This window comes from Homo sapiens, chromosome 2 (genome assembly GCF_000001405.40).
Source record: "Homo sapiens chromosome 2, GRCh38.p14 Primary Assembly".
Lineage (NCBI taxonomy): Eukaryota > Metazoa > Chordata > Mammalia > Primates > Hominidae > Homo > Homo sapiens.
This window is the reverse complement of record NC_000002.12, coordinates 47,623,415-47,638,097: the sequence shown is the minus strand read 5'-3', so window position 1 is coordinate 47,638,097 and position 14,683 is coordinate 47,623,415. Positions and strand designations below refer to the sequence as shown.

The following is a 14,683-nucleotide window of genomic DNA, read 5'->3' as shown; positions in this document are numbered from 1 at the left end:
ATTGAAGGGTTTTAAGCAGGGGAATGACATGGTCAGATGTTGAGTTTTCAGGTGTCTCTCTGGCTGTTGGATGGGAGGATGGCAGGTAACATGGAAGCAAGAAGAGTAGTTAGAGGGCATTTGTAATAGTCCCCATGAGAGATGATGGCAGCTTCAATGAGGGTGGTGGATATGAAGGTGGAGAGGAATAGAGGAGCTCAATGAATATTTTGGAGGTGGAATAAACAGAACTTGGTGATGGATTGGATGTGAGGTGTGAATGAGAAGGAAATGCCAGGAATGACACCCAGATTCCTGACTTGACAACTGGGTGGAGGCTGGTGCCATTTACTGAGATGGGGAAAATGGTGGGAGGATAAGATTTGGGTTAGGGGGTCCAGATCAAGGGTTCACTTTTACACATATGAAGTTGGAGATGTCAGAGAGACAGCAAGTGGAGACGTGAGTAGGCAGCTGAATATCCAAGCTCTCATTTTAGAAAAGTGATCTGGGCTAGGCATATACACTTGAGAGTCATCAGCCTAAAGATGATATTTAAAGCCATGAGAAGAAATGAGATTGCCTAGAGAGAGAAGAAGAAGAGAAAAGAGTCTCCGCTAACGTTAATGCCTGGTAGAGGAGGGAACCCTGGCAAACCCTGAACATCATAGGACTTCCCTTAAGAGCCACAGGAAGCAAGTTCAAGGTGCTTCTACCTAACAGCTCTTTGGATATTTGATGACAAGGGGTAGTGTCCACCTCTAGATTACACCTTCCAAGTTCCCTCTGTCTTTCCTTGTAAGGCATAATTTAAAGCTCTTCACCATATGGGTCATTCTCCTCTTAAAGTTCCTTTCTTGAACTGAGTGTAATGCTCCAGCCCCAGGTAGAAAGGGACCAGCTGAGCCATTTATCACTATCCCTGTTTAGTGATAAATACTAAACAGGAGGCAGCATCAGGACAGGGAGGACAGATGAGCCCTGCTCGGTTGTTGCTAAGAGATTTTTCATTGCTTTTCCCATCCGTAGGAAAGGGCGAAGGATTTCAGAGAAAGCCTCATAAACAATTGAATGAGCTCAGGCACTCTGTTACTGCCTGACAGCCTCAGTGGCAGAGACCTAGATTGTTTCCCAGAGGAAAAAATAAATAGTGTAAAACTTTCAAGATGTGCGCGTCAAAGGGCTGTTTGCCTGCTTTACGGTGAGAGCTCAAGATGGATGGTTTGGGAACAGCTGAAACCTATAAACACAGAGCAGAAAAGTTCTCCATCTTTTGCTCATTTATTCCATGAACTTTTTCATTGCTGAGATGCCAAGGCCTAAATAAATATGCACGCTATGCCATTGTTCCGCTCTGAGTCCCGGCTGGAATAGGAGACCTACATTCTTCATTAATGCTGTTCAGATTCACAGGATGAATATTCTGCTTTGGTTACTGCACATGGTGCCCAGAAATCGCAGGAACAAAAAACATATATGTGTGTCTCATGTGCACATTCACATACACACACACACACACACACACACGCACACACACACCCCATGTACATATCCTAAGCCTTCCGGATGTGGAGTTTGAAAACGTGCTCAATATCACTCTGGCAAGAAAGGGTTCTTCATTTCTCACCTCTTTCTTTCCTTTCTCCCTGAAGTGGGTGAAGTATTTGCCAAGATAGAGACTTGGTCTACATAACAATGCAGAGATTCACCCAGGAGAGGCCCTCAGTGTTACTGAGACCCAGGTAGATGCTCCCACGCTGAAGAGGGAGGGAGCACAGAGAGAGACGGGAGCCCCATGAGATGATCTGGTGTCTGTTGTATTAAAGGCTTGGCCTTTCTTCTGGCCCTAGGGAGTGTGTATCATCATTCTAGAGCAGTGATTCTCAAAGTGTGGTTCCCCCAGGCATCCCAGACCCCCTGAATGAGAAACTCCAGAGGTAGGGCCCAGCAATCTGTATTTTAAGAAGCCCTGGAGGTGATTCTGATGCAGGCTCATGCTAGAGTCTAGCAGTATGACTTTCTTTCTAGCAATATACTCTACCTTTATACTCTTTCAAGTATTGTGTGCATATAATTTTATATTTGGAAAATAAGGAGAAAACCTTATTTCTGTAACACAAACTGCAGGATATTTGGGGAGGATATGAAGAGAGAAGAAAGTGGCATATTAAAATCCCAGAGACAGACTTTTGTGTTCACCAAAGTGGGGCAAGGGTTAAAAAAGATTTCAAAACACCGATTTAGAGTAAAGAAAGGTCTCTCTGAGGCAGGAGACTCAGGTCATGGGGGGTTCATGCAGCAGGATGATGGGGTTCAGAACAGACTATCCCAAATATGGCACTTTGGCATTGGAGGAAGCAGCAGAAACAAAAAGCCTCTCTGACCCTCTTCCGTGCTTCTCCTAAAGCAGGCCATAAAAGAATTCCTTGATCTTGCTCTGAAGTAGGTGATAAGACCCTTACATGAGGTGCCCACCCTATACCCACAAGAAAAGAATGTTCTTATCTCTGAGGACACAGGGACACAGAGAATATTCTGAACAGGCCCTGCTAAGTTCCCGCCAGTTTATTATCATTGGAATAGTAATAAATTAGTGTATTACCCCCTTTGTCCACATCTGCACGACTGTCCACTCTTTATCAAACCTAAGCATAAAAACACACAGGTTTTCCTGTTTCTTTGGGTCTTCATTTCTGAAGGCTCCCATGTCATGTCAAACCTAGATATTAAATAAATGTGTATGCTTTTTTCTTGTTAATCTGTCTTTTACTATGGGTGCCTCAGCCATAAACCTAGTGATGGGTGAGGGAGAGAAATCTTTCCTCCCCAGTAAGAGCCTGTGAGAGAAGGCCAGGAGCTCACCATGCCCCACGAAGCCAGGGTTGGAACAGGCTTTTCTGAAAGTGTATTGGTTTCCCAGCAGACCTCCTGAGAGAGTAGTGTGTGCATGTGGATATGTGTATGCACCTGTGTGTGTGCAGGTGGGGGGTGGGCAGGAGGACAACAGGAGGCCATGGGGAACATTTCTGTCACATCACCACTACCACAAGCTCCCAGTATCTGGCTCTCAGCCCTGGGGAGAGCTGGTCTGCAATAAACCAGAGACCTTAGAATGCAAAGGGGGTTGATTTCTAGTTTCCAAGGACTCCCAAGGTGCTTCCTGTGTGGCTTCCTCATTTGCAGTGGGTCTCAAATTCAGTAGACTCCACCTCCCAGAGATTCTGATTCCATTGGCTTGCTGTGGGGAGAAGAAATTGGCCTTTTTTTTTTTTTTTTTTTTTTTTTTTTTTTTGAGACAGAGTCTCTCTCTGTCCCCCAGGCTGGAGTGCAGTGGTGCGATCTCGGCTCACTGAAACCTCTGCCTCCCAGGTTCAAGCAATTCTCCTGTCTCAGCCTCCTGAGTAGCTGGGGCTACAGGCTCACGCCACCACACCCGGCTAATTTTTGTATTTTTAGTAGAGCAGTCTCAGACTCCTGACCTCAGGTGATCCACCTGCCTCCGCCTCCCAAAGTGCTGGGATTACAGGTGTGAGCCACCGCGCCCAGCCAAAATCTGCATTTTAAACAAGCCTCTTCCTTCCAAGTAATTCTAATACAGAAGCTTCATGGACTACAGCAAGGATACCAAGGCAGTTTTATTTTTGGTGATGGTGATGCTTGGGAGGAGGCGGGGCGTGACACTGAGGAGTAGGGAAGGGAATGTTCTTGGTCATTGGAGCCTCTGAAGGGCCTCTTCTTCCAAAGTCAACGAGTGACTAAGTAGCAGCAGTGACACAGAAGGGCAGCCTAGTTGAGAAGTGTCCACTGGACAGGGAGAAGCATTAGTTTGGGCAGCAAATCTTAGGTTGCTAGTTGATCCTGGGGATGCTTGCAGGTCACCTGGTCAACGTGGTTGTCAGAGGCATGCTACCTGTTCTTTCTAGAAGGGAGACCTCACAAGGCCACATAGCTACTTCTACTGGTGGAGAAAGAAGCTTGGGAGAGTCTGTAGGGCCAATGCACCCACTGAACAGCTACTGTTAGGTAGGAAAGGCATTTAGGCAACAGGGGTAGACAGCTCAGCGTAAAGGGGACCCATAAATCCTGCCAAGAGAGCCCTGTGATGACGGAGGTGTTCTGAACCTGTGCTGTCCAGTGAGGCAGCCACCAGTCACATGTGGCTCATGAGCACTTAAAATGTGGCTAGTGTGGATGAGGAACTGGTTTTTAAACTTTATTTAATTTTAATTCATTTAAATTGAGGTTTAAATAGCCGCATATGGCTCTGATTGCGGCATTGGATAGTGAGAATCTCACATTACCAACCACATCCCAGTGCTGGAATGGAGGCAGCTCTGGGTGAAATGGCTGCTCTGTCTAGTCCTGAGGGAGGTCTGGGTGCTTTGTAAGTCAGAGGCTGGGGATTTGAGGCTTCCTGACTCCTTCCAGCCTCTTCACTGCTCTGGGAGGATATCTCCGAGTTATTTCACAGCAGCGCTCCTGCTCCGGGGCTGTCAGCCTTGTCTGGTTCAAGGTCAAGGGCCCTGTCTGTGGCTTGAATACAAGCTCAGCTCTATAGCTCTGGAAGGATTACAGGGGAAAACCAGGGGTGAAGGGGTCTCATGTCCCTAACTTGGAGCACAGGCAAGCTTCACAATTGTCCCCTCATACTCACCTCCCATTTCCCACTTAAAAGATAAAAAGGAAAACATATAAAAAAAGGAAGCTATTCTAAATGAGGACATTTTTAAAAAGCAAGAGCACAGATACTGTAAACATCCAATTGTTGGAAAACATAGGAACCCTCAGCTAGCCAAACAGGGCTGCCCCAAATGGTCCAGCAGAATCCTTGGGAATAAAAATCCCTCCCACAGGCACCAAATAACCTTCAATTATTTTGACGCATTCAGTACTTCTCTGCCAAGGTTGACAAATGACATCCAATCTCAGCTTCTGCCCAGGCTGCCCTGGGCAAGGCTGAAGGCCCGAGGCACCAGCCCCAAGCTCCAGCCCTGCCTGAGGCCAGGGCATCAATCAGGTGTAGGAGCAGATCTAGGGTAGGGGGCTGGGCTGGGCTGGGTGAGGGTCATGACTCAGCTGAGAAAAAAGGGGGCACTAACTCCAGCACCAGGAAGATCTGGAAGGGTAGGAGGAGACCAAACAGTGATGCAAGCCTCAGGCTGGCTCCCTTGGAAGTGGGTCCCACAGGGAGGGGAAGGCATGTGGCTGTTCTAAGCCTGAGTGCCCCACTTACCCGGCCCTCCAGGCAGGATATGGTCAGCCTGGGCCAGATTGTAGAGCATCCACAGGTGTCATGGAAAGATGTCTGCATCTCACCCTGTAGAAAATGGAGTTTGCGAGAGTGTTAGGCAGATTTGTCAATAGCTGGCTTTTCAGGCGTCCTGAAGAGCTGTCTATGTTGTCCAGGGGTTGGGGGTCTGGATCTTCTCTGAACATTAGGAAAGCCTTCGTCTCTGGGAAGACGATCTCCTGTATGGGCCATGGGTTACACTTGAAGGGGAGCAAGAACAAACTGAGGCCTTGGGGAGAAGCAGGTTGCTGAGAAGGTAGTAACAAAGCTCATTCCTCCCTCCCATTCACACACCAGGCCGGCTGTCTAAAACAGAGAATGGTCACATAGGGCAGCTCTAAAGGTCAGAATGCTCTGGTTACTATGGTCCAGAATGATAACGGAGTGGCTATGGCCCTTAAGGTAGAAGTAGAGCTTTTGATAGCCTAAGGATAAAGAGTGGCAGAAGAGCTATGAACAGAGGTGTCCCCACCATGTAGCTTTGCAAAGGGTGGTGATAAGGGATGACAAAGATCTCAAGCCCAAGGATACAGCAAGAGGCAATCCTGACATTCAGAACTCCCAGCGCCCGCCTCCTCCTTCCCTCTCCTAGAGAGGCTGGGTGCTGCCAGGTCAGCGTCTCCGGGTGTGACTCATGTCTCAGCCACCCTGCCTGGGACACTGGCAGCCACCCCCGCCCTTGCAGGCCTGCTTGAGACATGGCTGCTCACTCCTTTTATTTATTCCCTGTTCCTCAGCCACCTCGCCTCAGCCCACCCCATGACTAATGGGCTCCCACCACCCACCCTGGGGCATGCTGAGAGGGCATCACCAGCACTGCAATTATCTGGATCATTCAGGCCCAAAGGCTCTCTCCACCCCCAGCCCCCAGCACCAGCTTTGTTCTGAAATTATCCGCATCACCCCGGTGATTCCGTCGCACTGTCTACACATGAGGTGAATCCACAGCCTCTGGTTTTAAAGGACAGTGCTGGGCTGGCCAGTGATTTCTTCACACCGGCCATGTCACCAACTACTCGTGCCTCAGAAACATGGTCATTTTAGAGCTAACAGGATCTTAGAAATGACTTCAGCCAGTGATCCACACCAGAAGCACCAAGCATCTTTAAACACCCAGACATGTCCAGGGAACATCCCCAGAGATACCCCAGAACTAGCTCTAGATGCATGCGTGTGTGTGTGTGTGTGTGTGCGCGCACGCGCGCATGTGTAAAGCACCCCTGTCCTCCTGGTTGGGAACCTTTGCTGTGATCCACCCCCCTCATCTGACCCAGAGGGAGAAGTATCTTGCCCAAGGCTCAGGCTGATTAGTGGCAAAGCCAGGACTGGGTGTGCCTGCCTCCCTTCTCCTGAGCACAGAAGGGCTTAACTCACTGGACAGGTATTCAAGTCTCCTCACCCCCTCAGGCTTGCCCATCATCTATGTTCCTGAGCTCTCCCCTCAGCCTTCTGGTTCTATCATTACTCTAGCATGAAATTTCCTCACCACCTCTCATGTCCTTTTCCTCCTGGAAGCATCTCCATCCATTCCCCATCGCTATCCATCCCCAGTTCCCAGCCTAACTCATCGGGAACTTTTTTTTTTTTTTAAGACTGAGTCTCACTCTGTCGCCCAGGCTGAAGTGCAGTGATGCGATCTCAGCTCACTGCAATCTCTGCCTCCCAGGTTCAAGCGATTCTCCCTGCTTTAGCCTCCCAAGTATCTGGGATTATAGGCATGCACCACCAGGCCTGGCTAATTTTTGTATTTTTAGTAGAGACGGGGGTCTCACCGTGTTGGCCAGGCTGGTCTCCAACTCCTGACCTCAGGTGATCCACCCGCCTTGGCCTCTCAAAATGCTGGGATTACAGGCGTGAACCACTGTGCCCAGCCCACTAAACCTTTTTTGTCCATGCCTGGGGCAAGTTGCATCTGCTTGACAGTTCAGTTAGCCACAGCACTGTGACACTGACTCTGGGATTTTACAAGTTGTAACTTTGTCTTTTTCTTTAGGAAGCTCTGGAAGTTCAGGGAGCCTTCCCCATCCTCTTGCCCACAGAGGTGCTAAGTGAATGTGGAGATGTGAGTTGATGTGACATTGTAATGTCCCACACCTAGAGGAAGGATGCTCACCTTTAGATGTTTCTTTTTGGAGCTTTGCAATCTGGGCTCCCTTTACAGATTAAACACTGACATTTTCCATTTGTGTAAACATTCACAACGAGACAGGCCTCCAGGCAGGCCAGCAAGGACCAGGGACTGGTAAGTGCTAGGGTCTGAAGAAGGAGACAATCCCTGCACTCCATGCTGACCAACACCATTTGGGAGCACTAAGCAGTAATAAACAAGGACAACTGGTGTCACCCAGCAGACTAGGAAACATCAAAGTTGTGATTTAAAAAAAATTAGGGAGCCAACTGGCAGCAAGCTCCTTCCTTCTGCTAGTTTCATCTGCAAGAACACAGGCTGGAGACAAGTGAGGCTGCCAAGCGTGGATACCTGGGAGGGTGGATACTGGCTTGCAGGCTCCTGCCAACTCCTGCACACTTGAAAGGGCACGGCCAGTCCAGTGTGCTGCCCAGCTGAGAGGGCAGGCCTAGCCATCTGCCTGCCCTTGAGGGGTGCAGGCATCTCTCTGTTGGTGGCAAAGGAGGGTTCAGCCAAGAAACCAGCCCTGACAAGGACTCTGTCCTCAGAAGTGCTTGTCCAGGAGAGTCGGTGAGGAGGTGGCTGGCCTCTGTGGCAGCTGCCAGCAACTCAGTGGTGTAAGGTGGGCAGCTCCCTGCAGGGAGCTGCAATCCAAAGCAAGGCAGTCATGACTGACAATTCAGGGAAGCCCCAGGTAAATGCGGGTGGGGAGCAGCTGTGTGCTCAGGACCGTATCTCTCTTCCACTCTGTGTAAGTGTTAGGTGAATACAGGGAGTGACTGATCTACCGTTTTTAGGGTGACTGTATTAATTATTGTTCAAACTTGGCAAGGCACAGTGGCTCATGCCTGTAATCCACTGTGGTCACCAGGACTTCACTCACCTGAAAACTTGCCTGTAATTCCTGTAATGCTGCTGTGGTCACCAGGACTTCACTCACCTTAAAACTTGCCCTCTGCCTGCAATGTCAGGCTCCTTTCTCCCTCCCTTGCTTCATCTCCTGGCATTCCCTTGCCTCCCCTACCCTCATGCTTATTGTCTTCTCCTCTTCCCCAGTGAATGCCTTCCAGTCCACTACACAAGCCTCTCTGGGGCTCAGTGCTTTTGCTTTTATTGTTCCCTCTACAGTAAAAAGTACCCTTTCCTTGATACCTGGCGACCTCCTAGGCATGCCTCAAGACCCAGCTTAAATGTTACTTTTCTGGTGAAACGCTACCAGACTCCATGAGACAGAATGGGTTCCTCCATCTGTGCACTTGGCCTTGCTGTTTTATGGTGCTTATTGCATTGTTTGGTGACTCTTTGTTTACATGTCTCCTTTTTGTTCTCCTTTAGATAATGAGGTCCTTGAAGATTTATTTCTCTAAATGTACCATGGAACATAGTGTCTAGTACACAGAAGCTGTCAATAAATATTTGCTGAATGAATGAACGAATGAATGCAAATTCCTTCACCCTGCTACCTCCTGCTCCATAACCCTTAATGCTGCCCTCTTACCTGGAGACAAAATATGTGGCAGTTCATTCCACATGTTGTCTGTACACACCATAATTACCCCCATGTTTGGCATTATGGAGAAATGCAAAAATGTAAAATAAAGCGTCTCCACCCTGAGTTCCAAACAGTAAGTAAGGCAAGAACTCAGATGAAACCATGAAGGAGGCAGTGGGGACCACAGTGGCGTTCTGGATGAAGGGAGCCTTGCCTCCAGCAGGGAGAATCCAGGACAGTCTCCTAGGCACCAGGTCATGTTTGAGTCAGCTCTGAAGAGTGGGTAGATTTTTTTTTTTTTTTTTTAAGATGGAGTCTTGCTCTTGTTGCCCAGGCTGGAGTGCAGTGGTGCAATCTCAGCTCACTACAACCTCCGCCTCCCGAGTTCAAGCGATTCTCCATGCCTCAGCCTCCCAAGTAGCTGGGATTACAGGTATGCACCACCACACCTGGCTAATTTTTGTATTTTTAGCAGAGATGGGGTTTCACCATGTTGGCCAAGATGTTCTCGATCTTCTGACCTTGTGATCCACCCACCTCAGCCTCCCAAAGTGCTGGGATTACAGGTGCTCCATGCGCTGGTGGCTCACCACCATGCCCAGCCAAGTGGGTAGATTTTAATAGACATAGGAGTAGGGGCAATGAGGGTACGGAAAAAGGGCTTTACTGGTCCCAAAGGCAAACATGGTCAGGATATGTTCAGAATGTGGCTGGAGCAAAGGCCACATGGAGGGGAACAGCAGAAGGTGGAGGTGGACAGGGCTTGTCCAAGGACGGTCAGGGTGTGGCTCTTGTCAGCAGGGTGGGTTCCAAAAGGTCTCACTCAGAGCCAGGCAGCCACACTGCCTCTGAGGAGGCACTGAAAGGGAGAGGCCTGCAAACTCACTCCAGCTGTCACAGCCCACGCAAGGGGTGAAGGAAGCGGAGCAGCACGGGCCAGTTATGAAAACAGGGAATGTTTTAGATTCCCTGTTTCTCTCTACATTTCCTAAATCCCATATGTAGTAGGGACTTGGTCCAAGGGTGCCCCTTAATCCACCAGCCTCCAGTAAGATAACTTATAGAGCTTCTCCCACCTTCTCTCCCCTCAGTAGGTTGGGGCCTATGAATCTCTCAACCACGGGACAGGTAAATATTTCTTAGGCACCATCTACCTGAAAGATAGCAAGGGAAGAACGGTGGGAGATACGCAAGAACAGAGGCCACAGACCTCTAGTGATTAACCACATACAGCATGAAACACCCACAGAACCATGCCAGGCCAGGGGTGGCAAGTGTTAGGTGAATACAGGGAGTGACTGATCTACCCTTTTTAGGGTGACTGTATTAATTATTGTTCAAACTTGGCAAGGCACGGTGGCTCATGCCTGTAATCCTACCACTTTGGGAGGCTAAGGTGGCCGTGAGTTCAAGACTAGCCTGGGCACCATAGTGAGACCCCATCTCTACAAAACAAAACAAAATATTGCTCAAACTGGAAAAGTGAAAGAGGGAACAATTAATAAATATGCTGGAACATAGGCATGAACAGGGGCTGCACCTGCCATCCAGGATGGCGGTCATCCTATCCATAAGTCTCTTATGATTCCAACATTTCCATCCCCAGACCAGTCTTGGCCCCGAGATCCAGATTCAGATTCAACTGCCTGCTGGGTGTTCCATTTAAATGTCTTATAGGCCACTCAGCTTCCATGCATCAAAAACTGAAGTCAGTGCCTCCTTCACTCCCCACTCCCTCACCACTGGCTTCTCCTCTGTATTGCCCATCTGGAGAAACAGCACTGGCCTCTAGTCACGTGTTCCTGACCAGACCCTGGGAGTTGTCCTGAATCCTCCCCACCTCACCACACCCAGGCAGTCACTCCAAGAGCTACTCATTCTACATCCTTCTGGCCCCTCTCACCTGTTCAGGCCTCCTTGTCTTTGTCCTGGACCATAACTTGTCTTCTCTTCCATCCCTCCAACTGCACCTTGAAAGTCCCTCTTCATCATGGTAGCAGAGAGATCTTTAAAATGCGCACAACTGGCTGGGCATGGTGGCTCACATCTGTAATCCTAGCACGTTGGGAGGCCGAGGTGGGCAGATCACTTGAGGCCAGGAGTTCAAGACCAGCCTGGCCAACATGCTGAGACCCCATCTCTACACAAAAATTAGCTGGACATGGTTACATTTGCCTGTGATCCCAGCTGCTCGGAAGGCTGAAGCATGAGAATTGCTTGAACCCCCAGAGGCGGAGGTTGCAATAAGCCAAGATCACGCCTCTGCACTCCAGCCTGGGCAATAGAGCGAGACTCTGTCTCAAAATAAAATAAAAAAAATAAAATAAAATAAAATAATAAAATAAAATAAAATAAAATAAAATAAAATAAAATAAAATGCACAAAACTGCTCACGTTACTCCTTTCAGTGGCTCCCTGTATTATTAGTCTGTTCTTGCACTGCTATAAGGAAATACCTGAAACTGGGTAATTTACAAAGAAAAGAGGTTTAATTGGTTCACAGTTCCATAAGCTATACAGGAAACATGGTAGCATCTGCTGGGATTCTGGGGAGGCCTCAGGAAACATACAATCATGGCAGAAGGGGAAGGGGAAGCCAGCAGTTCACATGGCCAGAGCGAGAGGAAGAGAGGGGGGCAGAGAGGTGCCACACACTTTTAAACAACCAGCTCTCACAAGAACTCACTATTATAAGAACAGCACCAAGAGGATGGTGCCAACCCCTTTATCAGAACTCTACCCTCATGATCCATTCACCTCCCACAAGGTCCCACCTCCAACTGGGGATTATAACTCAACATGAGATTTGGTGGAGACACAGATCTAAATGATATCACTCCCCTTACACTTTGTCACTTTTGGGTTGTAGCTGAGACTTTTGGGAATCTCCCCAGTTCCGGGCTCATCTCCACCTTCCCTCTCACATCCTGTTGGCCAGATCTATATCCTCCTTGAAGTTCTGCACTGGCCACCCTCTGAGCCTTTGCTTACACTGCTCTCTGCCTGTGATGTCTGTCTGCTTCTGGTTCTCCTCCAGCTACCCACTGGACCTCAGATAGTGCCCACTGTATGACCCCCCTTGCCCTTTAAGGACTGGCCTTTCTGCCACTCCAGCCATTCATTTATTCAGCACAGTGTTAGGTGATGAGGGGTGACATATATAGAACCACATGGAGACAGCACATGTGGCAAAATGATCCTAGTCAATCCAACTAGGTGAAAGAAATTTGGGTATTGATTGTAATGGTACACCATTCTTGCAATTTTTCTGTGGGTTTTAAGTTTTTCTAAAGAGAAAATCAAGTAAAAATTGAATAGATTCCAATTAGAAATAGGATAAAAGATTTGAATAGATATTTCTCAAAGGAAGACATACAGATGGCCAAAAGTTACAGGAAAAATTGCTGGACATCACTAATCATTGGGGAAATTCATATCAAAATCACAGTGAGGTATTATCTCTCACTTGTTAAAATTGCTGCTATCAAAAAACAAGACAGCAAATGATACAAATGTGGAGAAAGGGGAACCCTCCTACGCTGTTGGTGGGAACGTTAATTAGTAGAGCCATTATGGAAAACGGTATGGAGGTTTCTCAAAAAATTAAAAATAGAACTACCATATGATCCAGCAATCCCACTACTGGGTATATATCCAAAGGAAAGGAAGTCAGTGTGTCAAAGAGTTATCTGTGCTCCCAAGTTCATTGCAGCTCTACTCGCAATAGCCAAGATATGGAACCAACCTAAGTGTCCATCAATGGATAAATGGATGAAGAAAATGTGATATATATACACAATGAAATATTCTTCAGCCTTAGAAAAGAAAGAAATCCTGTCATTCATGGCAACAAGGATGAACCTAGAGGGCATTATATTAAGTGAAATAAGCCATGCACAGAAAGACACATATCACATGATCTCACTCAGATTTGGAATCTAAAGAAGTTGATCTCATAGAAGTAGACAGTAGAATAGTGACCACTAGAAGTTTGGGAGGGGATGAGGGAGGCAGGGGCAGGGAAAAGTTGGTCAGTGAGTACAAAGTTACAATTAGAGACAAGGGACAGGCTCACAGCTAATAACATACTGAATGGGGAAAAACTGAAAGCCTTTCCTCTAAGATCTGGAACATGACAAGGATGCCCACTTTCACCACTGTTATTCAACATAGTACTGGAAGTCCTAGCTAGAGCAATCAGACAAGAGGAAGAAATAAAGGGCACCCAGGCTGGAAAGGAAGAAGTCAAACTATCTTTATGTGCAGATGATAGGATCTTATATTTGGAAAAACCTAAAGACTCTGCCAAAAAACTATTAAAACTTGTGAACAAATTCAGTAAATTTGCAGGATACAAAATCAACATACAAAAATCAGTAGCATTTCTATATGCCAACAACGAACAATCTGAAAAAGAAATGAAAAAAAAAATTCCATTAAAGTAGCCACAAATAAAATTAAGTAGCTAGGAATTAACCAAAGAAATGAAAAATCTCTACAATGAAAACTATAAAACACTGATGAAAGAAATTGAAAAGAACACCAAAAAAAGTAAAGCTATTTCATGTTCGTGAATTGAAAGAATCAATATTGTTAAAATGTCCATACAACCCAAAGCACTCTACAGATTCAATGCAATCCCTATCAAAATACTGACATTCTTCACAGAAATAGAAAAAAAAAACCACACAAAAGACCCGGAATAGCCAAAGCTATCTTAAGCAAAAAACAAAAACAAAAACAAACCCAAAAATCCGGGGGAATCACATTACCTGACTTTCAACTATACTACAGAGTTTTGTTAACCAGCATGGTACTGGCATAAAAACAAACATATAGACCAATGAAACAGAATAGAGAACCCAGAAACAAATCCACACACCCACAGTGAACTCATTTTCAACAAAGGTGCCAAGAACATATACTGGGGAAAAGACAGTCTCTTCAATAAATGGTGCTGGGAAAACTGAATATCTATATGCAGAAGACTGAAACTCAACCCCAACCTCTTGCCATATACAAAAATTAAATCAAAATGAATTAAAGACTTTAAGACCTCAAACTATAAAACTACTACAAGAAAACATTGGGGAAACTCTCCAGGACATTGGTCTGGGCAAAAATTTCTTGAGTAATACCCCACAAGCATAGGCAACCAAATCAAAAATGGACAAATGGGATCACATCAAGTTAAAAAGCTTCTGCATAGTGAAGGAAACAATCAACAAAGTGAAGAGACAACCCACACAATGGGGGAAAATATTTGCAAACGACTCATCTGACAAGTATTAATTACCAGAGTATATAAGGAGCTTAAACAGCTTCATAGGAAAAAAAACTAATAATCTAACTAAAAAAATGGGCAAAAGATTTGAATAGACATTTCTCAAAAGAAGACATACAATAGCAAACAGGCATATGAAAAGGTGTTCCCCATCACTGATCATCAGAGAAATGCAAATCAAAGCTACAGTGAGGCTGGACGCAGTGGCTCACACCTATAAACCCAGCACTTTGGGAGGCTGAGGCAGACAGATCACTTGACAGATCACTTGAGGTCAGGAGTTCAAGACCAACATGGTGAAACCCCGTCTCTACTAAAAACACAAAAATTAGCTGGGCGTGGTGGGCACCTATAATCCCAGCTACTTGGGAGGCTGAGGCAGGAGAATCATTGAACCCAGGAGGTGGAGGTTGCAGTGGGCTGAGATTGTGCCACTGCACTCCAGCCTGGGCAACAGAGTAAGACTCTGTCTCAAAACAAAACAAAACAAAAAAACTACAATGAGATATC

General features: G+C 46.7%; 1 protein-coding gene across 25 annotated transcripts in view; it reads right to left on the bottom strand.

The window, feature by feature from the left end:
* The window catches only part of MSH2 (mutS homolog 2), a 306,764-nt gene that overhangs the window by 71,733 nt on the left and 220,348 nt on the right, over positions 1 to 14,683 (bottom strand). For 6 of the 25 annotated variants that reach the window (NR_176238.1, NR_176235.1, NR_176237.1 and 3 more), the window contains one exon: positions 3,597 to 5,296. The exons of 16 other annotated variants lie outside the window; for them this stretch is intronic. Coding sequence is in view for 1 of the 9 variants with exons in the window: in NM_001406646.1 (NP_001393575.1) it covers positions 5,292 to 5,296 (5 nt within the window). In the remaining 8 variants the exon portion in view is untranslated. Of the gene's footprint in view, positions 1 to 3,596; positions 5,297 to 14,683 lie in introns of those variants that run through there. 3 more of the 25 variants (NR_176244.1, NR_176248.1, NR_176234.1) reach the window with 2 other exon arrangements.